This window comes from Homo sapiens, chromosome 11 (assembly GCF_000001405.40).
Source record: "Homo sapiens chromosome 11, GRCh38.p14 Primary Assembly".
In the NCBI taxonomy this organism is placed as follows: Eukaryota; Metazoa; Chordata; class Mammalia; order Primates; family Hominidae; genus Homo; species Homo sapiens.
Window position 1 is genome coordinate 59,577,923 of NC_000011.10, and position 25,386 is coordinate 59,603,308.

General features: G+C 42.4%; 1 protein-coding gene and 1 non-coding gene across 2 annotated transcripts in view; both read right to left on the reverse strand.

Annotated features, from left to right (window-relative positions):
• OSBP (oxysterol binding protein) overlaps positions 1 to 25,386 on the reverse strand; it is a 41,377-nt gene that overhangs the window by 3,525 nt on the left and 12,466 nt on the right. Inside the window, exons 4-12 of the mRNA NM_002556.3 lie at positions 23,718 to 23,916; positions 23,361 to 23,463; positions 22,897 to 22,951; positions 22,574 to 22,705; positions 16,088 to 16,333; positions 15,682 to 15,802; positions 3,529 to 3,632; positions 2,252 to 2,347; positions 227 to 408 (exon numbers count right to left, since the gene is read on the reverse strand). Coding sequence (NP_002547.1) covers positions 227 to 408; positions 2,252 to 2,347; positions 3,529 to 3,632; positions 15,682 to 15,802; positions 16,088 to 16,333; positions 22,574 to 22,705; positions 22,897 to 22,951; positions 23,361 to 23,463; positions 23,718 to 23,916 — 1,238 coding nt within the window. The remainder of the gene's footprint in view (positions 1 to 226; positions 409 to 2,251; positions 2,348 to 3,528; positions 3,633 to 15,681; positions 15,803 to 16,087; positions 16,334 to 22,573; positions 22,706 to 22,896; positions 22,952 to 23,360; positions 23,464 to 23,717; positions 23,917 to 25,386) is intronic.
• On the reverse strand, positions 17,155 to 17,236 carry MIR3162 (microRNA 3162). Its single transcript, NR_036120.1, has one exon. It is a non-coding gene; the product is annotated as a microRNA 3162 (primary transcript).

Sequence of the window (25,386 nt, forward strand, 5' to 3'; positions counted from 1 at the left end):
ACAAAGTATTTTTTGTCAGATGTAGTTTGGTTTGAACTTCCTTGAAATAAGCATGCTACAAGTCAAATCATACAATGACAACCTTCTGTTAATCTCTCCAAAAGTCTCAATTTCCCTTGCTCAATTCCCCACATAATTAAGTGAGAGGGCAGGCAGAAATGCCTTCAATATTGCTCCACAGTCAAGGTCAAAGTGGTATCTGGGCAGCATGCATGCTGATACTCACGGTAAAGGATTCCTTTTCCACAGCATGACCCTGCTTTCCTCTGCTTCATGGCCTCTCTGTCGAGCATCACCCCCATTTTCCCCAATGACTGGCTGTACTTTGAAACATTCCATTTTCTCATCCCACGTCCCCAGAAGAGCAAAGTGGACTTTTCCTGATGGATCTGTCACTTCCCCCGTCACCTGCAAGGGTGGAGAACAGGGCTTGGCTATATAGAATTCACTGTGAATTAGCTTACCTGACTATACTGGAAGTCCTAGGATAAATAATGGTTAGGTCCTGTTATAACAAACACCAGAGAGTCATCCAAATTATTATTAGAGATGGGATCTTGCTCTGTTGCCCAGGCTGGAGTACACTGATGCAATCGTAGCTCACTGTGGCCTCCAACTCTAGGGCTCAAGTGATGTCTCACCTCAGCTACTTGAGTAGCTAGAACTACAGGCATGTGCCACCATATCTGGCTAAGTCTTTAATTTTTTTTGTAGAGAAGGGGTCTTGCTATGTTGCCCAGGCAGGTCTTGAACTCCTTGGCTCAAGCAATCCTCTTATCTCCACCTCCCAAAGTGTTAGGATTATAGGCATGAGCCACCATGCCTGGCCTCAAATTATTTTGTTGTATTTTTTTCTGCTACTTGAAATAACTGAGCCATGACTTGGGGATTTCATTATCATTTTTTGTTATATGGGGATTTTTGGTAAACTTTATTTTTAGTTTTTATTTTTGTGAGTTCATAGTAGGTGTATATAATTTGCATTTATCCTTTGTGTTGCAAACAATTCAATTATACTCTTTTAGTTATTTTAAAATGTACAATTAAATTATTTTTGACTGTAGTCACCCTGTTGTGCCAGCAAATACTAGACTTTATTCTTTATCCCCACTTCTTGCTCTCTGTCCCCTCCCCTCACTACCCTTCCCAGGGATTTTTGTATCAAAGATACACGTAGCAAAAGCATCTGACTGGTACTCAGAATTATATTTTCTTCTCTCAAGAAATTCACAGGGACCTATAAACAGATTTAAATCCCCAGCTATTCTTCAGTCTCCCACAGAAACTCATGACACAAATCATTATGGTGGTATCACACAACTCCCCCTCAAACTTCTCAGTGATCAAACCCCTTTTTCCTGAAATCTTTTATTAGTCCTTCCTCTGTGTTTTCCCATTTACTTTCTTTCTTTCTTTTTTTTTTTTTTTGAGACGGCGTTTCTCTCTTGCTGCCCAGGCTGGAGTGCAATGGCGTGATCTCGGCTCACTGCAAACTCTGCCTCCCTGGTTCAAGCAATTCTCCTGCCTCAGCCTCCCGAGTAGCTGGGATTTCAGGCATATGCCACCATGCCCGGCTAATTTTGTATTTTTCGTGGAGACAGGGTTTCTCCATGTTGGTCAGGCTGGTCTCGAACTCCCGACCTCAGGTGATCCGCCCGCCTCCACCGTGTTTCCCATTGTCAATCTCTCATTGCTCTCGACACTTTCACTTCCTCACTTATTGTCATTCCCAGAAAAGAGAAGGAATTGGCTTAGTAGTAATACAATATAGTCTTTCTTGATGACTTTCTCCTTCACCTCTACTTTTTTTTTTTTGAGACGGAGTCTCGCTCTGTTGCCCAGGCTGGGGTGCAATGGTGCGAGACTCACTGCAGCCTCTGCCTCCCAGGTTCAAGCGATTCTCCTGCCTCACCCGAGTAGCTGGGATTACAGGCACGCGCCACCACACCCAGCTAATTTTTGCATTTTTAGTAGAGACAGGGTTTCATCATGTTGGCCAGGCTGGGCTCGAACTCCTGACCTCAGGCGATCCATCTGCCTCAGCCTCCCAAAGTGCTGGGATTACAGCTGTGAGCCACCGCGCCCAGCCTTTCACCTCTACTTTTTTTGAATCACTATATGTACACATACACTATATAAAATGTACACACCCCCATACCACCCCACATGTATATACATTCCAGTCCTAAAGGAGTATGCTTTCTAAGAGATACATGCTACGTGAAACAATTTAAATTTCAACTTCCCTTACCTTTCTTGCTACATCCCGAGAGAAGTAGCTATAAGGAACAAATTTAAGATTACACTTGTCTCCTGTCTTGTGATTCACAATATCAATTTCGCCAGACTGTAAAATGAAAAAATTCAGTTTTATTAAGACTGGATAAATTCAATGTCTGCCAAACCCATGGTTCATAATTCTTTACTTTTCAATCTTACATTCTAGTAATCCCTTGTTTAAGATTCAGATCTTAGCTAGCCTTGGGAATGCTATAGAATCCCTATGTAACCTTGGTTTTCCAGGTTGAGATCAAGACCAAGTGTCCACTTGTTTTGAATTGTATCTCACATGTTAGATGGCATGATTTGACCTTCAGCACATATACTGAAGTACACATGATAATTTACCTTTCCAAACCAATCCCTCACTAGTACCCTTCATGAACTCTTCTGCTTAAATCAAAATACTCTACTCACAATTGCAAATTACATATGGTCGGCCTTTCTATACTTGATTCATTTCATTTTCCCTCCTTTCTTTTTTTTTTAAATTTTTTGTAGAGACAAGGTCTCACTATATTGCCCAGGCTAGTCTCAAACTCCTGTGCTCAAGTGATCCTCCCGCCTTGGCCTCCCAAGGTGTTGGGATTATAGGCATGAGCCAACATGCCCAGCCCATTTTCCCTTCCTTTCTATCTTCTAAATCCCAAACCACACTTTAAGATTCAGCTTAACTCCCACATCTACTGTGAGGCCTTTCCTGACTGCTCAGAAGACAGTATACCCTCTTTTCTAAATTTGCTGCAACCATTGTCTTAAGAGAAAACTGACAATTAATTAGATACTATCATAGGGCATCTTTTATATTAGTGTATGTTGCTGCACATTTTCCAACCTACACATTGGTCATGTATCTCCAATGATATAATAAATTATTGAGGGACATCTCATCAGACTTTGTATCCCCAGGACCTAGCATACTGCCTGGCAATAAATATTTGATGAATAATGAAAGGATTAAGAGTTGGGGCCACGTTTGTTTTTTCTACCTGTCGTAGCACCCAACACAGTCCTAGCAGAATAGTCATTGATGAATGTTATAATTTGGTCATTTATAAACAATAATTTGTGGTACAGAAAACTTAGAGAGTTAGAGGTAGGGCTACTGCCTGAGAGAAATTCCTTAGGAGAAACTGATGAATCAGTAGCAACATTCTGAGACCAGTTCACATGTCCTAAATACTGCAGAAATATACCTAAAGAAGTATTCTTTTAAACTTCACACACACTTTGGGTACCTTTCCTCACCTGATCTATCCACAACTTGCCCACAATAATGTTGTGTACAGTTGTGGTAACTTTCTTCCAAGTGTAGTGGTGCCCAGTTGCATGGAAAATACAATGAATGGTACCTGGAAGCAGAAAGAGGTATCCAAATTAAGCCAAATGTCAGAAAAATAGCACCATGCAGCCTCAAAACAGTAATGGATTAATTTCCTTCTATTGATATTTATTACTTTTAGAAATAAAACAATAAATCAAAAAGGACTTACACTTTCTTAAATGTTGGAAGTATTGACTGAATTTTTCTCACTTGACTTTCAAAAATCTATGAATAAAACATAACTAAATGATGACAAACCCTGGCAACTGATATACCTTAGCTAGGACGCTGTGTTCTATAATACAATTGCAAAATTTACAGAAACAAGTCAAATGCACCCCAACATGCATCATGGAAGTAACTGCATTATGGAAGGAGCACACATTGGTAGTCTGTACCGGGACCAGGCTCTATTGTTAAGTTACTAGCTGTGTGACCTTAAACAAACCACTTATCTAAGGCCCTTAATTGTAAAAATGGAATAGTGGATAGAGCTGGGGCTTTGAATTCAGACAGAACTGGATTAAATCCTGACTCTAGTCCTCATTAGATGTATGACCCTCTGTTGTATAATGAAGAATAAAACCCTTGTAATTTCCCAAGTGACAGGAATATCTCTGTTATTTACGGTGGACCTTGACAATTTATACTAATGAGGTGACTCATGGTGGGCCTCAGATAGCTAATGCTAATAACTTAGGATGCCAGGCTCCACCATGTGATTAGAGACAGGGTTTTGAGTCACCTGATATTGGGTCAACTTCCTGACCTCTGGGGATGAAAGAGGATCTGGATATTGAATTCAATCCTGCAATCAAACCTAAATAATGAAGCCCTGCTAAAATCTCTGGATACCAAAGCTCAGTGGAGTTTCCTGGTTGGTGAATAGATCAGTGTGCCAGGAGGGTGATGTGCCCTGATCCCATGGAGACAGGGCACAATGCTCTGTGTTCAGGACCCTCCCAGACCTCACCCTACGGGTCCCTTCATTTGGCTGGCCCTGATTTGTACCCTGAATAATAAAACGGTAATGATAAGTAGAGCACTTTCCTGAGTTGAGTCATTTTAATGAATTATCAAACCTGAGGTAGTTGTGGGGACTCCTGAACTTATAGCCAGTTATCAGAAGTGCAGGTGGCCTAGGGCCTCCAACTTGTTGCTGGCATCTGAAGCAAGGGCAATTTTGTTGGGTACTATGCCCTTAACTTAGGGAGTCTGCGGGAACTCTGGGTGGGTAGTGTCAGAATTGCATTACAGTATTGCACTATGAATGTTTCAAAGGCCTTGATTTTATCATCTATAAACTTGGGATAACACGTCCTGTTGTGCAGTAAATGTCTGTTTATTTGCCTAATAAAATGCTTGAAACATATAGCTGACTCCTGTTCTTATAAGTCAATCTCCAATGAATACCAAAATCAGTGGTTTCACAGCAGAGATAATTGAGGATTCAAAATAATCAAACATTTTAAAAGATATATAGTTAATAATACTCAATTCCAGGCCAGGTGGGGTGGCTCACCCCTATAATCCCAGCTCTTTGGAAGGCCAAAGCAGGCAGATCACTTGAGGTCAGGTGTTCAAGACCAGCCTGGCCAACATGATGAAACCCCATCTCTACTAAAAATACAAAAAATTAGCTGGGTGTGGTGGTGTGCGCCTGTAATCCCAGCTACTCGGGAGGCTGAGGTAGGAAAATCACTTGAACCCAGGAGGCGGAGGTTGCAGTGAGCCAAGATCACATCACTGCACTCCAGCCTGGACGACAGAGCAAGTCGCTGTCTCAAAAATAAAAAATAAAAATAAAAATAAAGTCGATTTCAGTAAAAGTATAACCCTAAGTTCTCTCTGTAACCACTAATAAAAAATAACTCACCAATTGTGGTTTAGACATGTTTCTTATACAAAAAATTAAAGTAGCCCTAATAATTGGCAGATAAGGATCACAACAATGAAGGCTATGACATCAATGATAATAACAGCCACTCTGCTGAGAACACTTGCTGTGTACCAGGTGCCGTGCTATGGTCTCCTCATGCATTATTTCATTTAATATTCACAAACACCTTCGAAATATTTGCTCCACCTAAACATATTCTAAATCTCTGTTTTTTTTTTTTTTTTTTTTTTTTTTCGAGATGGAGTCTTGCTCTGTCACCCAGGCTGGAGTGCAGTGGCACGGTCTCGGCTCACTGCAGCCTCTGCCTCCCGGGTTCAAACAATCCTGCCTCAGCCTCCCGAGTAGCTGGGGTTAAGGTGCCCACCACCACACCTGGCTAATTTTTGTATTTTTAGTAGAGACAGGGTTTCGCCATGTTGGCCAGGCTGGTCTCAAACTACTGACCTCGTGATCTGCCCACCTCCGTCTCCCAAAGAGCTGGGATTACAGGCATGAGCCACCACACCTGATGGTGTTTTTTTTTTTTTTTTTTTTTTTGAGACAGGATCTCACTTTGTCGCCCAGACTGGAATGCAATGGTGCAATCGTAGTTCACTGCAAACTTGACCTCCTGGGCTCAAGTGATCCTCCCTCCTCAGCCTCCCAAGTAGCTGGGACTATAGGCATATGCCAAAATGCCCAGCTAAATTTTTTTATTTTTTGTAGACACAGGGTTCCACTATGTTGCCTAAACTGGTCTTGAACTCCTGGGCTCAGGCGATCCTCCCACCTCAGCCTCCCAAAGTACTAGGATTACAGGCACAAGCCACTGCACCCAGCCTAAATCTCTTAACCAATACCTCCTCCACTACCATCTCATTCTATGAGGCCAGCACTCCCTGACACTAAAGCCAAAGACACTATAAAAACCCAAAGCTACAGACCAATATCATATCCCTTATGAACAGTGATGTAACAATCCTCAATAAAAAACTAGGAAATTGAATTCAGCAGCATATTAAAAGGATTATACACCATGACCAGGTGGGATTTATTCCTGGAATGCAAGGATGGTTGAACACATAAAAACTGGTAAATGCAATACACCACATGAACAGAATGAAGGGCGAAAAAACACATGATCATCTCAATTGATGCAGAAAAAGCATCTGACAGAATTCAACATCCTTTCAGAATGAAAACACTCAACGAGCTAGAAATACAAGGAAAATACCTCACCATAATAAAAGCCACATATGAAAACCCCACAGCAAATATCATACTCAATGGTGAAACACTTAAAGACTTTCTTCTAAGATCAAGAACATGGCAAGGATGCCCACTTTCACTGCTTCTATTCAACATAGTACTGGAAGTTTTAGCCAGGGCAATCAGGCAAGAAAAAGAAATAAAAGGCATCCAAGATGGAAAGAAAGAGATAAAATTATCTGTGTTTGCAGATATGATCTCATATGTGAACATGCTAAGAATTCCACCAAAAAAAGAAATCCTGATAGAATTCATAAATGAGGCTCAATGGTGCCCAGGCTGGAGTGCAGTGGCGTGATCTCGGCTCGCTACAACCTCCACCTCCCAGCCGCCTGCCTTGGCCTCCCAAAATGCCGAGATTACAGCCTCTGCCCGGCCGCCACCCCGTCTGGGAAGTGAGGAGCGTCTCTGCCTGGCTGCCCATCGTCTGGGATGTGAGGAGCCCCTCTGCCTGGCTGCCCAGTCTGGAAAGTGAGGAGCGTCTCTGCCCGGCCGCCATCCCATCTAGGAAGTGAGGAGCGCCTCTTCCCGGCCGCCATCACATCTAGGAAGTGAGGAGCGTCTCTGCCCAGCCGCCCATCGTCTGAGATGTGGGGACCGCCTCTGCCCTGCCGCCCCGGCTGGGATGAGAGGAGCGCCTCTGCCCGGCCGCGACCCCGTCTGGGAGGTGAGGAGCGTCTCTGCCCGGCCGCCCCGTCTGAGAAGTGAGGAGACCTCGCCCGGCAACCACCCCGTCTGAGAAGTGAGGAGCCCCTCCGCCCGGCAGCCGCCCCGTCTGAGAAGTGAGGAGCCCCTCCGCCCGGCAGCCACCCCGTCTGGGAAGTGAGGAGCCTCTCCGCCCAGCAGCCACCCCGTCCGGGAGGGAGGTTGGGGGGGTCAGCCCCCCGCCCGGCCAGCCGCCCCGTCCGGGAGGTGAGGGGCGCCTCTGCCCAGCCGCCCCTACTGGGAAGTGAGGAGCCCCTCTGCCAGGCCACCACCCCGTCTGGGAGGTGTACCCAACAGCTCATTGAGAACTGGCCATGATGACAATGGCGGTTTTGTGGAATGGAAAGCGGGGAAAGGTGGGGAAAAGACTGAGAAATCAGATGGTTGCCGTGTCTGTGTAGAAAGAAGTATACATGGGAGACTTTTCATTTTGTTCTGTTCTAAGAAAAATTCTTCTGCCTTGGGATCCTGTTGATCTGTGACCTTACCCCCAACCCTGTGCTCTCTGAACATGTGCTGTGTCCACTCAGGGTTAAATGGATTAAGGGCGGTGCAAGATGTGCTTTGTTAAACAGATGCTTGAAGGCAGCATGCTGGTTAAGAGTCGTCACCACTCCCTAATCTCAAGTACCCAGGGACACAAACACTGTGGAAGGCCGCGGGGTCCTCTGCCTAGGAAAACCAGAGACCTTTGTTCACTTGTTTATCTGCTGACCTTCCCTCCACTATTGTCCTATGACCCTGCCAAATCCCCCTCTGCGAGAAACACCCAAGAATGATCAATAAAAAATAAATAAAGAAAAAAAAAAAAAGAAAAAAAAAAGAATTCATAAATGAATTCAACAAAGTAACAGGGTATAAAGTCAACACACAAAAATTAGGTGCATTTCTATTATACATTAACAATGAATAATCTGGAAAGGATATTAAGAACAATTCCACTTATAATAGTATCAAAAAGAACACTTAGGAATGAACTTAATCAAGGAGGTGAAAACTGTAAAACATTGCTGAAAGAAATTAAAGTTAAGATAAATAAATGGAAACACATCCTATGTTCATAGATTGGAAGACTCAACATTGTTAAGGTTGTCAATGCCACCCAAAGCAATCTACAGATTCAATGAAATCTCTATCCAAATCCCAAGATGTTTTCTGCAGAAATAGAAAAACCTATCCTAAAATTCATATGGAATCTCAAGGGACCACAAAATAGCCAAAGAACAAAGCTAGAGGACTCAAACTTCCTGATTTTGATACTTAATACAAAGTTACAGTAATCTAAAATGTGTGGTACTAGAATAAAGACAGACATATAGGCCAGTGGAATAGAACAAAGAGCCCAGAAATAAACCCTTCATATATGGTCAAATGATTTTTGGCAAGGGTGCCAAGACCACTCAATGGGGACAGGACAGTCTTTTGAACAAATGGACCCACATGCAAAAGAATGAAGTTAGACCTTTATCTAGTACCATGTACAAAAATTAACTCAAAATAGATGAAAGACCTAAATGTAAGACCTAAAACTATAAAACTCTTAGAAGAAAACATAGGGCAAAAGCTTCACAACATTGGGTTTGGCAATAATTTCTTGGCTATGACACCAAAAGCAGATGCAAAAACAACAAAAATACAAAGCAAACCTCCTGAACATTAAAAAAAATTTGTGCAATAAATGACAATAGCAACAGAGTAAAAATGTAGCCTCTAGAAATTGGAGAAAATATTTGCAAATCATATATCTGATAAGGGATTAATATCTAGAATATACGGAGAACTCCTAAAATTCAACAACAAAAAAAAGCTAAAGAACTCAAGTCAAAAGTGGGGAAAGGAGGCTGGGTACGGCAGCTCACGCCTGTAATCCCAGCACTTTGGGAAGCCGAGGCAGGCAGATCACTTGAGGTCAGGAGTTCAAGACCAGCCTGACCAACATGGTGAAACTAAGTCTCTACTAAAAATACAAAAAATTAGCCGGGTGTGTTGCAGGGGGCCTGTAATCCCAGCTATTCTGGAGGCTTAGGCAGGAGAATCACCTGAACCCAAGAGGTGGAGGTTGCAGTGAGCCAAGACTGCGCCACTGCACTCCAGACTGGATGACAGTGCGAGACTCCATGTCAAAAAAAAAAAAAGAAAAAGGGCAAAGGACTTGAATAGGTATTCCTCCAAAGATATACAAATGATAAGTAAGTACATAAAAAAGTGCTCAACAACACTAATTATTAGATAAATGCATGTCAAACCACAATGAGATACTACCTCACATCCATTAGGATAGCTATGATACATTTTTAAAAAGTGTTGGCAAGGATATGGAGTAACCGGAACCTTTGTGCACTGTTGGTGGGAATGTATAACCATTGTCGAAGACAGTATGGTAGTTTGCTCAAAAAACTAAGAATATAATTGCCATGTGATCCAGCAATTCCATTTCTGGTATATACTGCAAAGAACTGAAAGCAGGGTCTTAAAGAGATATTTGTTGTTTTTTAAACATTTTTTTTTCTTAAGACTTTAGGCAAAGAGATGAAAGGGTATTTGTACATCCATGTTCACAGCAGTGTTACTCACAATAGCTAAAACATGGAAGCAATCCAAGAGTCCATCAACAGATGAATGGATAAGCAAAATGTGTACATACACACAATAGGATAAATATTATTCAGCCTTAAAATGAAAGGAAATTCTGACATTTGCTACAACACGGATGAACCTTGATGACATTACGTTAGGTGAAACAAGCCAGTCACAAACAGACAAAAACTATATGATTCCACTTATAGGAGATAATTAAAGTAGTTAAAATAGAGACAGAAAGTAGAATAGTGGGTTCCAGGGTTTGGGGAGGGAGAATAGAAAATTATTTTTTGGCTGGGTGTGGTGGCTCATGCCTGTAATCCCAGCACTTTGGGAGGCCAAGGCAGATGGATCACTTGAGGTCAGGAGTTCAAGAACAGCCAGGCCAACATGGTGAAACCCCATCTCTACTAAAACAACACAAAAATTAGCCGGGTGTGGAGGCGGGTACCTGTGATCCCAGCTACTCGGGAGGCTGAGTCACAAGAATCGCTTGAACCTGGGAGGTGGAGGTTGCAGTGAGCTGAGATCATGCCACTGCACTCCAGCCTAGGTGAGAGAGTGAGACTCGGTCTCAAAAAAAAAAAAAAAAAATTATTTTTTAATGTATATAGAGTTCCCGTTTTACAAGATCAAGAGTTTTGGAGATGGAGGGTGGTGATGGTTGCACAACATTATGTATTTAATACCACTGACCAGTACACTTAAGAATGGGTAAGGTGCTAAATTTTATGTTATGTGTATTTTACAATTAAAAAATTGGAGGCTGGGCGCAGTGGCTCATGCCTGTAATTCCAGCACTCTGGGAGGCCGAAGCAGGTGGATCACTTGAAGTGAGTAGTTCAAGACCAGCCTGGCCAACATGGAGAAACCCCGTGTCTACTAAAATACAAAAGTTAGCCAGGTGTGGTGGTGCACGCCTGTAGTCCCAGCTACTCAGGAAGCTGAGGCAGGAGAATCAGTTGAACCCAGGAGCGGGAGGTTGCAGTGAACCAAGATCACACCACTGCACTCCAGCCTGGGTGACAGAGCGAGACTCCGTCTGAAAAAAATAAAATAAGTAATAAAAATAAAAAAATAAGAAACAAAAATTGGAAAAAGGACAAAAAGAAAAATAAGTCATAGAGGCCAGAAGGCAGTGGGATAATATATGCAAAATGCTGAAAGCAAAAGACTGCCAAAGCAATCATTCTTTTTTTTTTTTTTTTGTAGAGATGGGGGTCTCCCTATGTTGCCTAGGCTGGTATCAGACTCTTGGGCCCAAGTGATCCTCCTGCCTTGGCCTCCCAAAGTGTTGGGATTACAGGCATGAGCCACTGCATCTGTGCCAATAGTCTTAATTAAATGTATCTTTTTGGCCAGGCGTGGTGGTGCCTCACGCCAGTAATCCCAGCACTTTGGGAGGCCAAGGCAGGTGGATCACTTGAGATCAGAAGTTCGAGACCAGCCTGGCCAACATGGTGGAACCCAGTCTCTACTAAAAATATAAAAATTAGCTGGGTGTGGTGGCGGGCACCTGTAATCCCACCTACTTGGAAGGCTGAGGCAGGAGAATTGCATGAGCCTGGGAGGCGGAGGTTGCAATAAGCAGAGATTGCACCACTGCCCTCCAGCCTGGGCAACACAGCAAGACTTTGTCTCAAAAAAAATAAATAAATAAATAAAAATAAATGCACCTTTTTAAACTTCAAGCATATCAGCTAGTTTCTATATCCTAGAACTCGATGAAGAAATTCTTATTTGCACTGGGCATGGTGGCTCACGCCTGTAATCCCAGCACTTTGGGAGGCCAAGGTGGGCGGATCATGAGGTCAGGAGTTTGAGACCAGCCTGGTCGACATGGTGAAACCCTGTCTCTACCAAAAATACAAAAATTAGCTGGGTGCGGTGGCGGGCACCTGTAATCCCAGCTACTCCGGAAGCTGAAGCAGGAGAATCGCTTGAACCCAGGAGGAGGAGGTTGCAGTGAGCCGAGATTGCGCCACTGCACTCTAGCCTGGGTGACAGAGCAAGACTCAGTCTCAAAAAAAAAAAAGAAATTCATATTTGCTCCTTAAAATAGCCTTCATTATTTGGAAACTTCAGTTATATTTTCTAGAAGCATTCTTCTTTCCAAATGTCAAGGGTTCTAATCTTTTTAGCCTATTTTATAGGGAGACTCACTCATTGTCACTGCCTCCAAATATCTTTAGGCACTTTCATTGGTATTAGATTTTCTTCAGTCATGGCTATGACTTTTTCAAAGTGGAGTTAACAGAACCACAATTTTGTACAAAGTTGTCCTGCTACCAAATAACCTTAAAACTGCCTTATCTTGTCAGACCTCAGTGAGACTATTAGGCTGATGTCTTCAGTGTCCTTTTTGCACTGTAATTGTAACTGATGGCTTGTAGTCTCTCCTTTTCAGTACAGCCTAGCGATAATGACAGGGGTCCCTGAAGCCAGATTGCCTCAACTCAGATCACATACTAGCTGGTTAAGTTGACCCTGACAACCCAACCTATCTATGCTTAGTTTTCTTTGTTTAAAAAATGGCAATAAAGGTGTCTATCTCATAGAATTATTGTTGGGCCTGAATGAGTTAATACATGAAAAGCACTTATATCAATGGCTGACCCATAATGAGCACTCAACAAATGCTACTTCAATTATCAACATAAAAGTTTGAACGACTTTTCCCTAGATGCCTTACTTTATGCTGAATACACTGGAGCAGTGTATTAAACTGCCAGTCATCTATCTGCTCACTTACTCACAACCCTGTCCATATATTTTTCTTCAGCTATATCTACTGGCTTAACAATAATTTTCTCTCTGAGAATTGAGTGCCATGGCAAATGTAAAAATTTCACTACATGATTCGCCTTCCAAGCCACTGAGCCAAAAAGTGTTAAATACAGCCATCTCCAGGGCAAATACCTAGAAATTCCATTCTTTAGATTTCTATATTCAGCTTCCTATCACAAAGTCAATTCTTTCTTCAATCTCCCCATGAAGATGGGGATTTTTGTTTTGTTCACTTACATTTCCCAAACACTGAGAACGATGCCCGCCATGTGGCAGATACTCAGTTAAGCAGGTGATATGTGGAGGAACTTAACAGGATCCCGGTGATCCAAATTCTTAAATAAGCATAGGAATGCAAATACTATCAAATTGTTTTCTTTTTAATTAATTTTGTTTTCCTGTTATTTAATTTATTTTTAAAATGAAGTCTCCCTAGGATAAATGTTTTAACTTTAAAAAATTAGATCTTTAACAAATTACTAAAAATTAGAAAAAAAATTAGATCCACCATCTATACCATGTTCATATATTCATTCCTCAAAGAAACCTAGATTAGTCAAATTATAGAGAAAATGTACAATATTTTATTAGTTAAGTTTATTGTTATCTTTTAGATGAATACTCTTCCTTTGGTATTTGTGAGAGATTGGTTCCAGAACACCCTGCAGATACCACAATTTGGTCAAGTCACTGATATAAAATGGTGCAAAGTATCTGCATCTAACCTACACATTCCTCTCCCTTGTATACTTTAAATCATCTCTAGATTACTTATAATACATAATACAATATAAATGCTATATAAATAGGTATTATATATTTTTTGGTCTTTTTTTGTATCATTATTTTTTATTATTTTCCCCCTCAGTATTTTCTTTTCCTTTTTTTTTTTTTGAGGAGTTCTGCTCTTGTCGCCCAGGCTGGAGTGAAATGGCGTGATCTCAGCTTACTGCAACCTCCGCCTCCTGGGTTCAAGCAATTCTCCTGCCTCAGCCTCCTGAGTAGCTGGGATTACAGGCACCCACCACCACGCCTGGCTAATTTTTGTATTTTTAGTAGAGACGGGGTTTCACCATGTTGGCCAGGCTGGTCTCAAACTCCTGACCTCAGGTGATCCGCCTGCCTCGGCCTCCCAAAGTGCTGGGATTACAGGCATGAGCCACCACACCTGGCCCCCAGTACTCTCAGTCCAAGGTTGGTTGAATCCATGAATGCAGAATACCCAGGTATGGATGGCTGACTGTACCTAACCACCCATGGAATGAAATATAATTCTTCCCTTTAGAGATCCTCAAGGGGCCTCTGAAACTCTTCTCTATGGTGAAACATCACATTGCAATACGGCCACTGACACCCAAATTCTGCAAATAAGATGTTAACATCTCAGGCATTTACTACTCTTAAGCTAATACTTCTGAAATTGTTAGCTGCAAAGACAATTAAGCATGTAGAAGCTTTTTAAAGGTCCTTGGTAAAGATCAAGACTGATGTATCACTTAGTCTCCTTTTCGTTTAGGGACCTTCTGCATATTAACCATGAAATTAGAGGTAACACTGCAATTTCTTTTCTCCCTTTACATATGTTAGAAAACATTTATGAACTTTTTTTCTGGCTAATTTCTAGTTTGCACTATGTTTGCTGCATTTGTGTTTCTGAGCAAAGGTGAATTCATTAAAGAAGCAGTCTATATTGCAATATTTAAGAACTGTAGCTATACCTCGTGAAAGACTAGAACCTGGAAATGGAAAGCCACCAGGAGCTCAGGGAGTTATGGTAAGCTCTGTCTCTTGGGAGCTACTTGTTTTCTCTAACTGCTTTGTGCTTTGATCTCTTTTTGTAGAGCAGCTTTTACTCTTCAGCACACACTTGGCCAAACATGGTTGCTCTAGTTCAAGAAAGCATTGAGAAGCTCTACCATACTTTTTGAATAACTGGATTTCTTCTAAGGTATAGGATCTCTAACATTGTATACTAGGATTCCATTCCCAGGACTGATCCTGACACAAAATTAACTTGTAATCCAATAAGAGTTTTTGTTTTTTGGGTTTTTCCTTTTTTTTTTTTTTGAGATAGAGTTTCACTCTACAGTCCAGGCTGGAGTGCAATAGTGCAATCTCAGCTCACTGAAACCTCCGCCTCCCGGGTTCAAGCAATTCTTGTGCCTCAGCCTCCCGAGTAGCTGAGACTACAGGTGTGCACCACCACACCCAGCTAATTTTTTTGTATTCTTAGTAAAGACAGGGTTTCACCATGTTGCCCAGGCTGGTCTTGAACTCCAGAGCTCAGACAATCTGCCTGCCCTGGCCTCCCAAAGTGCTAGGATTACAGGGGTGAGGCACTGTGCCCAGCCCCAAGTAAGATCTTTTTAAAATAAAGTTTCAGTGACCTAGAATTCAGCCATTACATAAATGATACCTAACCCATCAGGTGGAGGAAAAGGGAGGAAGGAGAGGAGAAAGCGGAAGGATTAGCTAAGAAACCTAACCTTGCAATCATGAGTTCTGATTTACAGAGAGAACCTGACTGCCAAAGTAAGGAAGAAAACACCACCAGTTAAGAGACAGAATTTTTTTTTTTAATGCATGCTAGAACTTGTGTTCTAAATAGTGCTTAGAGATGCGTTAAATATAGCTAAGAGGATAAAGAATTTAGGACTAGATGGGTCCTTAAAGAGTTTCTAGCCTCCACACTCATTTGATAGCTGAAAAGTTAAATACCTGCCCAAAGCCAGTTAGTGAGGGTCAGTGCTCGAATCAGACCTCCTGTCTCCTGACTCTTTAGCCAGTGACCTCCTCCATCGTGCCAGAAAACCTTTCATTCCAGGAGCATTAATTCTGACAAAGATGGTAACCTTACCGAGGGGCATAATGGAGAGGTATTTGCCTCGAAACTTGCTGGTGATTTTGATTTCCTGACGCAATGTCCAGCCATTTTTGGACTCAGCATGGTGCGCAGCAGCAGGGGGATGATGACTCACCTTGAAGAAATCAGGTTCAAATTAAGACGGCAGAAAGGAGAAGAAAAAGATACTGCCTATAAATTGGTGAGAAACACCAAAATTCACACTTGACGTTTTTACACCCACAACAGTAGGTGAATCCCAGAACCTCCAGGGTCTCCAACGCTGACGTTCTGAAGAAAAAGAATAAAAGCTGGGATGACAGGGACTAGAATTTCTGCAAACATAAGACCCAGGGGATTAACCAAAAAATCATCTCTTTCTTCAGAAAGGAAATGCGTTATGGTTCTGAGGTTCCTTTACCTGTTCACAGAGGGATCGGTACCCATTCTCCTCTAATCGGTCCAGCTCAAAGGTCTCCCCAAGCAGTGGGTTGAATGGCTTACTGGTGCGGAAGACAGTAGTGGAGTAGGAGGACACGGTGAAAGCTGCAACATAACAGAGCTGTTCTAGAGAATTCTCACATTTTGCAGCTCGGTCTAACAGCTCATGGTATTCCAGATCTTCAGTAAGGCGCTGAAGCATGGACAAGGGCTCATTAAAGTTTACCTGTAAGGAGAAGAACAGATATAAAAACTATGCTCACTCATCTATAAGAGACAGTTTAATTTTTTTTGCAGTTTAGGAAATAAATCACTGGGAAAAGAGGGCTTTGCTCAGTAGAGCGGCTCTAATATTTAACCCGCAAACAACCCATTCTCCTTGTCAACTGTTCATGTCTGTGAGTGGCAGAAATCACTGTTTTCATTTCACTAACTGTAAGCTCTTTGAGATGGGAACCATGCCTCTTCTGTTGAGTGCTACATACCCAAGATCCATCAGTGACTGGCCCACAGAAGACTATCATCAAATAGGTGTTGGATGAATAAGTTTTTTAAAAAAGAAATGCAATGTATTTTAGCACAAGTATACCCAGAGAGGAAATCAGGTATTTAAAATTCTTGGAGAATGAAAGAAACAGTAGTAAATTATAAGTACAGCTATATCCTGACTAGTTATAAAAGTTAGTTTCCACCCTGGACAAAACAATTGCTAAATCTCAGTTCAGTTCTGCATCAGGCCAGGATTCTGATTTCTCCTCTGAGGCTGGATAATTGTGTTTCTGGGAGTGAAGTGCTCATGATGGGGGTTGAGAGGGGGCTGTGCATGCTCTTACCTTTCTAATTCTGAAGCCAGCTTAAGGCGACCAAGTACTGGATAAAGCAAGCATGTGTGTGTTTATGTGTGTGTGCCAGGAATTGGGGGCTTCTGTTGGGGGAGATGTTCATTCATTCATTTATTCACTTACTCATTCCACAAATATTTATTGAGTACCCATGTGTGCCAGACCCTATGCTACCCACTGGATAGAGAGAAGTTAACAAGAGAAGCTGACTTTTTTGGGGAGTGGAGGGGTAGGGAGTGAGAAACATTGTTCATGCTCCCCACCCTTCTACTCCCTAAAAAAGTCAGCTTCAAAATTAACTTTGAAATTTTAAATGATTTTACTATGTAAAAATTCACTATAAAACAAGTCAGGTTCCCAAGTTAGTCCATAAAGCTTATTTAATTAACAATATAGATGAACAAGTCTAAATATTATTAGCCTGAGTTCTAAGTCCAGAGAACAAAAGAAGAAAGAAAAAATTCCCTTTTAGTGAATGGTTCTGGCCTTAAGCAACGCTTTACTTAAACAAACAAAAAAAACACAACACTTTTCTTTCTGATGTTCCATCTCTTTTGGCATTTTTGTTCACCCTTCTACCCACCAATCTCTGAGCTACATATTACCCTAATATTTGCTATCCCCCCACCGCCCGCTCAATCATGAAATTAATATCGTATAATTTTTAACTGTAAAAAACTTTGAAAACAAAGTATCAAGGAAAAAATTTTCTTGAAATGAGATCACCACTATTAACATTTTCAGTTTGTTTCTATACATTCATACATTTTTAAAAGTAATAAACTTGGCCACGTGTGGTGGCTCATGCTTACAATCCTAGCACTTTGAGAGGCTGAGGCAAGCGGATTGCTTGTGCTCAGCAGTTTGAGACCAGCCTGGGAAACATGGCAAAACACCATCTCTATAAAAAAAAAACACAAAAATTAGCACGGTGTGGTGGCGTGCACCTGTAGTCTCAGTTACTTGGGAGGCTGAGGTGGGATGATGGCTTGAGCCCAGGAAGCAGAAGTTGCAGTGAGCCAAGATCATGCCACTGCACTCCAGCCTGGGCAACAGAGCGAGACTCTGTCTAAAAATAAATAAATAAATAAATAAATAAATAAATAAATAAATAAATAAATAAATAAAATTCATAAACTAGAGCCTGCTTTTTCTCTGAGAAATATCCCAAATGTTTCTCTGTGAACATTTTCCAGTGAACACAGAGCCACAGAGCCAACAACACTCATCCTTTGAGAAATAGGACCCACCAAAACAGTGTGCCATACCCCAGAGCCCTCTTCCCTACACTGAAAGACAAGCAGTATGATGACACAAATGCACACTGAGGGGTGGCGCGCTGCAAAAGCCATAATCCTCGATTCTTTTTAAAGAGGGCACTTATTAACTACACCCAATAAAATCTGTCCGTGGCAGAATTTAGACAATACGAAGTAACATTTCCATACATTTTGAGGAAAACTGGGGACAGGCAGTGTACTCCACTGGTGGTACTAGACATACCAGCAGTGCATGGGACTAGAATCAGCACATTGCTATCACTGCTTTTCACACACACACAGCCTTGCCCATCAACAACCAGTTTCTCCAAAAGTGCCAAGCTTCTTATAATGGTCATTTTATTACTCAAAAGCCAAACAGGGAAAGAAATGAGTCTGAGTATTTAAAGTAGAAGGAAGCAGGGAGCTATACAGCTGATGAAAAATTAGGCACCCAAAAAAAAAAAAGACAACCCAGAGATTAGCAGCAACAGGAAGCCATAACCATTGGTAGGGTGGAGAGATGGGGAGAAGCAGCAGTATTACTACAGCCTAGAGGTGGGGGTCCAAGAGAGGAGGATCAGGAGAATGTAAAACATCAAGGCAGGGGAGGCCTCTCCAGTGAAAACTAGAGCCACGTAGGTGCGCCAGAGCACCACTCAAGAGGGCATAGAGGGAGAGACTTCCCACGGCTATAACCTCCTACTGGTATCTTGCATTAGTGAAGCCCAGCCAGACTCCAGTAGCCACGGAAGCCTGAAAAAACACTTCCTAGAGGGATTAGTTTTCCTGTGTTACAGCCTAGAGTAGGGGAAGGGTGAGGACTTGATCTGCGGGCAAACAGGTACAGGACTGTACATTCTTAAAGGCAAGATCAATAAGGAACTAATGGTAAAGGAGGACAGAGAAGTCACCTAGACCCAGAAGCTATTTCTTTCTTTTTTTTGAGATGGAGTCTCACTCTGTTGCCCAGGCTGGAGTGCAGTGGCACAATCTTGGCTCACTGCAATCTCCGCCTCCCAGATTCAAGCAATTCTCCTGCCTCAGCCTCCCAAGCAGCTAGGATTACAGACGCGCGCCAACATGCCCGGCTAATTTTTATATTTTTAGAGAGATGTTGGCCAGGCTGGTCTCGAACTCCTGACCTCAAGTGATCCGCCTGCCTCAGCCTCCCAAAGTGCTGGGATTTTTTTACAGGTGTGGGCCACCGCGCATGGCACCAGAAGCTGTTTCTAAGCAGGAACTACATTCCTGAGACTGCAATGACATGCCTTTCCAGTCCACTTTCCCACTACTCCCTTCAAGGCACCTAATACTCCAGACAAGTGGGGTTTCTTTTCAAGCCCCCAATAAACTAATTATTATTTTAGGTTTATCCTAAGGCTACTCATGGCCTTTTCTTATCTGAAGGTCAACCTTTTTTTCTTTTGAGACAGGGTCTTGCTCTCACCCAGGCTGGAGTGCAGTGGTGAGATCATGGCTCACTGCAGCCTCAACCTCCCGGTCTCAAGTGATCCTCCCACCTTAGCCTCCCAAGTAGTTGGGACTACAGGCACACATAACCATGCTGGCTAACTTATTACTATTTTGTTTTGAGAGACAGTCTCGCTTGTTGTCAAGGCTGGAATGTAGTGGCACCATCTCGACTCACTACAACCTCTGCCTCCAGGGTTCAAGCCATTCTCATGCCTCAGCATCCTGAGTAGCTGGGGCTACAGGCTCGTGCCACCATGCCCCACTAATTTTTTCTATTTTAGTAGAGACAGGGTTTCACCATGTTGCCTAGGCTGGTCTCGAACTCCTGAGCTCAGACAATCCACCCATCTTGGTCTCCCAAAGCGCTAGGATTACAGGCATGAGCCACTGTGCCCAGCCGAATTTTTTATTATTTTAGAGACAGGGTCTCCCCACGTTGCCCAGACTGGTCTTGAAGTCTTGGACTCAAGCAGTCCTCCTGCCTCAGTCTCCCAAGTGTTGCGTTGCACCCAGCCCAACACTTCTCTAACAAAAATTCTACATATTTGTACATAAACCTATTTGTTTTCCAAGACCCAGTTAATTACTTCGACATTTGCTAAATGATTTATACATGCCAGGCACAGGGCTAAGCATCAAGGTTATAAACACCATCAAGACGTAGCCCCTGATCACAAGGAACGCAGTCTATGAAGAGGCAGAAACCACACATTGGTCCATAGCTTCAAGAGGGTAGGGAGAATGCCTTCTGTATTTTTGTAGGCTTAGTAGCTGGCTGTGGACAAAACCTGTAGCCACTCGCCCATCCCCACCATCCATTCTTCCATTCTTCTACAACTGGTAGAACCCTTAATTTTTCACAAGGCCATGCCATCCAGAACAGAAGTCTTCATTTCTAGCCTTCTCTCCAGCTAACTGTGGCCATATAGCTAAGTTTTAGCCACACAGATTTAAGTGATAGTGATTTATGCAACTTCCAGGAAGTATCTTCTTGGTTTTTTGAGACAGAGTCTAGCTCTGTCACCCAGGCTGGAGTATAGTGGTGCGATCTCAGCTCACTGCAACCTCTGCCTCCTGGGTTCAAGCAATTCTCCTGCATCACCCTCCCGAGTATCTGGGACTAGAGGTGTGCACCACCACACCCGTTTAACTTTTGTATTTTTAGTAGAGACAGGGTTTCACCATTTTGCCCAGGCTGGTCTTGAACTCCTGACCTCAAGTGATGCACGTGCCTTGGCCTCCCAAAGTGCTGGGATTACACGCATGAGCCACCGCACCCAGCCAGGATGCACCCTTAAATGGTACAGCCTTTCCTCTTTTTCCATTTTCCGGCTAGCTGGAATAAGGCTCTGATGACTCAAGCTGGAGCAGCCACTTTGGGCCTGAGGACTGAGGCCAAAGGCAGCAGAGCCCCAGGACAGAAAGAAGCCTGGCTCTGACACCATAGAGTATGGCACTAGCCCTGGACCACCTACTTCTGGGCTTGAACATAATGAGTTAAGCCAACATTTGTTTAAGGCAGAGGTTGACAACTTTTTCTGCAAAGGGCTGGATAGCAAATATTTAGGCTTTGAGGGCCATATGGTCTTTGTCACAACCACTTAACACTGCTGTTATAGGATGAAAGCAGCTGCAGATGATACGTAAATGAAAGAGTATCATTGTGCTCCTATAAAATGTCATGGATGTTAACAACTGAATTCATCTAATTTTCACATCACAAACTATTATGCTTCTTAGATGGTAGCCAGAGTTGGCCTGAGGGCCTTAGTGTGATGACCCCTGGCTTAAACTGATATATTTTGAATTTTTTTTTTTGTCTCCCCAACCCCACAGTTGGCCCCATGAATTTGTTTCTTTAATAAATTGAACCTATATCTTCTATACCTAACTGAAAACTAGCGCAACATCAGGCAAATAGTAGGCACCCAGAAAATGCTTGTGAAATGAACAAGCAGTGATACACACTGTTTACACCATCAACAGTGGAACTTGTTGGAACACAAAGGAGAGACATTTCATCCTGACAGGATGCACTGGAGGTTTGCTGAAAAAGACACACTATAGCTGCATCCTCAAGAAATGGGTATTAGCCACAGCAGAAAAAAAGTGGCAAGTGTTAATAGGGAACTGACAAAAGTCTAGGCAGAAAGAGCAGTGTGTACAAATGCCCTGAGGGAAAGGACAGGATGCCTGAAGGAAATCCTAATGACTAGAACTTGGGATGCGTGGGGTAGAGCCTCGCCCATGGGGAGGAGTTACCAAGCCCCCTAAGGTATCTGGACTATGATGAAAGCAATGAAGATCCAGTAAAGGATTTTCAGCTGAGGACTGACATGACTACATTTGACATTTTTCAAAAATCACTCTGACAACAGTGTAGACAGACTGGAGGAAGACATGACGGGGCAGAGAGGTCAGCCCAAACACCATCTTTGCCATGGGGATGGTCATCTGTCTGGTTTGAATGAGCGATTTTTGCTTCTGTGTTCCCTAAGCCTTTGTCTGTGTCGTACTTTCCATAATACTATCACAGAAAATAATGTTTTCTACCTGTTTTCATGTCTGTCTCTTTTAAACTACACACTTCTTGAAAACAGAAACTATGATGTATTTATCTTTGCATGTCCCCAGTGCATCTAGCATAGGAATTTGCTCAAAAATAACTGCTACTGAGCATATACATCTGATTCTAGGTGATCTGGGAACATATCAGATCCAGAGCCAAAATTAAAGCAGCTAAATTTATGGAACAGTTTATGATTATAAAGGTAAAAAAGACCATGCCACAAACTGCCGCACAAGTGGGTGGGGCTGTCATATCAGCACTCTTCCCACTGAGGCTTGAGAGGAACTCCTGGCAGCAGCTCCAGTGTGCAAGAACCTTACCGGCATGGGGATCTTAGAGAGTTCTTTTCCAATGCAGTTCTTCATGATGCTCCATAAATTGAGGCTATAGTTTGGCTTGTATGGTATTCTGGTTCTCTTTTCCTTTTTGGTCTCCTCCAGCTGATGCTTGTACTGAGAGCAAAACAAAGCCATTCAACCACCCACAAAGAACAGAAAACCTGGTATTTATAACCTTCCCTTCCCCCGTGCTAAAAAAAGAAAAAAAAATCAGTTTCTCTTAGCACTTCACAAAAAAAAAAAAAAAATCCTTGGGAATCACAACCCACGTCCCTCACCTCTGAGATCTCCCATATAAGAATTACCTGTTCATCAAGGCTGATGTCACTGCTGGCTCCACTGATATTGCTGCCAGTACGTCTGTACAGATGGGAAACACAGGAGAATTAGAACAAAGACCAGAACTAGAGTGTGGTCCTGGACATTTCTTTACAAAGCAGAATGCCAAGTACACTGTATAAACTTATTGATGGGTGATCAAATGACGACATTTAGAGTAGGAATGAATTTAAGTATCTCTGGAGAATTTGTTTACGTAAAAAAGCTGACATTTTTTCACTTACTTAAGAAAAAGGGCCCATTCTACAAAGAGATCTTGAGACAAAAAAAAAAAAAAAAAAAGGGAAAAGGGCCCAGATTCAATATTGACAATTATAATACTCTCACTGAAATGTTTTTAACCTTTTGATGGTTAAAATATGATGCTAAAATACCACCATATTGATGGTGAAGATATGTTTATTTGCTTCAACAATCAAGGATAACTCACTTGTGGCCCAAATTTTCAGGCATGGTGATGATCTCAGGTGCATCAAAAAATTCATTCTCATCATCTTCATCGCTCATGTCCCCTTTGCCAGAGCAGCACTGATCTACAAGAAGAAAAGCCCCATTTGTTGACTTTGGTTATCTTTACCAAATGTCTGATATAGCAAGTTCTTTTAAATACTAACCACAAACACAGCAAAAAATGGTAGAAAGCAGTGGAAAATCCAGAATAAATCAATGGGTTCCAATTCCATTTCACATGACTCATTGACTGTGAAGAGTTTGGAGTTCTCCTATCAACTGCAGAAAACCATCTGGCTCACCTTAGACCAGGCTACCTGAGAGCTAAGTGTCTTACCTTTACCAGAACCCACATTGCCAGGAGTGTTTGCCGGCAGCACCGTGGCTCCTCGGAAGGCCCTCTCCAGGTGATTATGCTGCTTCGCCAGCTGCTCGAGGGTTTCTTCCAGTCGGATACGCTGGTCTCTTTCATACTGTAGTGACTTTTGCCATTTTTTACTATGGGTCTGGGCTAACATGAGGAAATCTCTGCAGGCCTGTATGGAGAAAGCGTTGACTGTGTCAGCTCAACTAGTCAGAGTTTCCCCTCAGGCTTCTGCAAGCCCATTGAGTAACCTTATTCTGGGAACTTTTAACTGGCAAATTACAATGAAAGACTTTCCCTTTTATGCCAAGGTATCAGGGACAGCTAGCTCCACGCTGAAATCAAGGTCAAACCCAGAAAAAAAGTAAATATGGTTGTCATGGTTCTTTTACACTTTCCTGGTCACGAGAACCAAACAAATGCCAAGTGAGCAGTAAACCCAGACGAAGTATTTGTGACAACATCAAAAAGAGCAGGTATGTGAACTGCACCAAAAGTAGAGAACTGCTGACTGAAAGAAGGATGAGAGCACACACAGGATAACTGCTTTCAACAAATTCTTGACTAAACTCAAGTAACTGAAAGCTAAGGACTTCAGACACTGAGAACAGAGAATCCACACTGAGGTAGACCAAGTATGGGGAAACTCATTTGGTTTTTATTTTGGTCACTAAGAGAAACAACTGACCTTAAAAATTAGGAGCCTTCAGTGTGCAGGAAGAAGGTTTAAAAAGAAAAATATTAGAAGCCTACTTGAAAAATCAAAGAAGAGGTTTAGAGAAAAAACCCACAAATATGATTATATCAAGTCCCTCCACTGGCTCCCCACTAACATGAGGATCAAATACTAACTACTGGTTATGAACATAAAGAGACCTTCATAATACGGCCATCACCTGCCTTGTATTCTCCTCGCCAGGCATGTGTACTTAGCACTGCACCCTACAATGCAGCCACACTGAACTGCTCACCATTTCTTGCACACAGATTTCTGGCACAGTCTGGAGTAGAGTGCAGATCACAGCTCACTGCAGCCTCAACCTCGTCGGGCTCAGGTGATCCTCCTACCTTAGCCCCGCTGAGCAGTTGGGACTACAGTTATGTACCACCATGGCCGACTAATTTTTGTATTTTGTAGAGATGGAATTTTGCCTTGTTACCCAGACTAGTATCGAACTCACGGACTCAAGTGATCTACCCATCTCAGCCTCCCAAAGTGTTGGGATTACAGGCATGAGCCACTGTGCCCAGTCGTGGACACAGATTTCTTTCAGGCCTACATACCTCAGCATATGCTATTCACTCTACCTAGAATGTCCATCCCTATCCCCTGTTTCTAAGAAAGGGCAAATCTTTCTTTAAGATCTATGGCAAATGCTACTTTGTGACATCTCCCCACCAGTCTCATAAGCAGCCAGTCTCTTCTCTACATTTCCACTGCATTTTGCACAAACTTCTATTTTACACATGCACAGCAGTATCGTGACTGATTTTCTATCTCTCCAGATGGATCACATGCAATTTAAAAACACATTTTTGAGTTTATTCATATATAGATCTCCAGCTCCTAATTTAGTTGCTCTGTACATAATAGGGATCTGATAAAGTTTGCTTAATAAATAAATAAAGGAAGGAGGCAAGC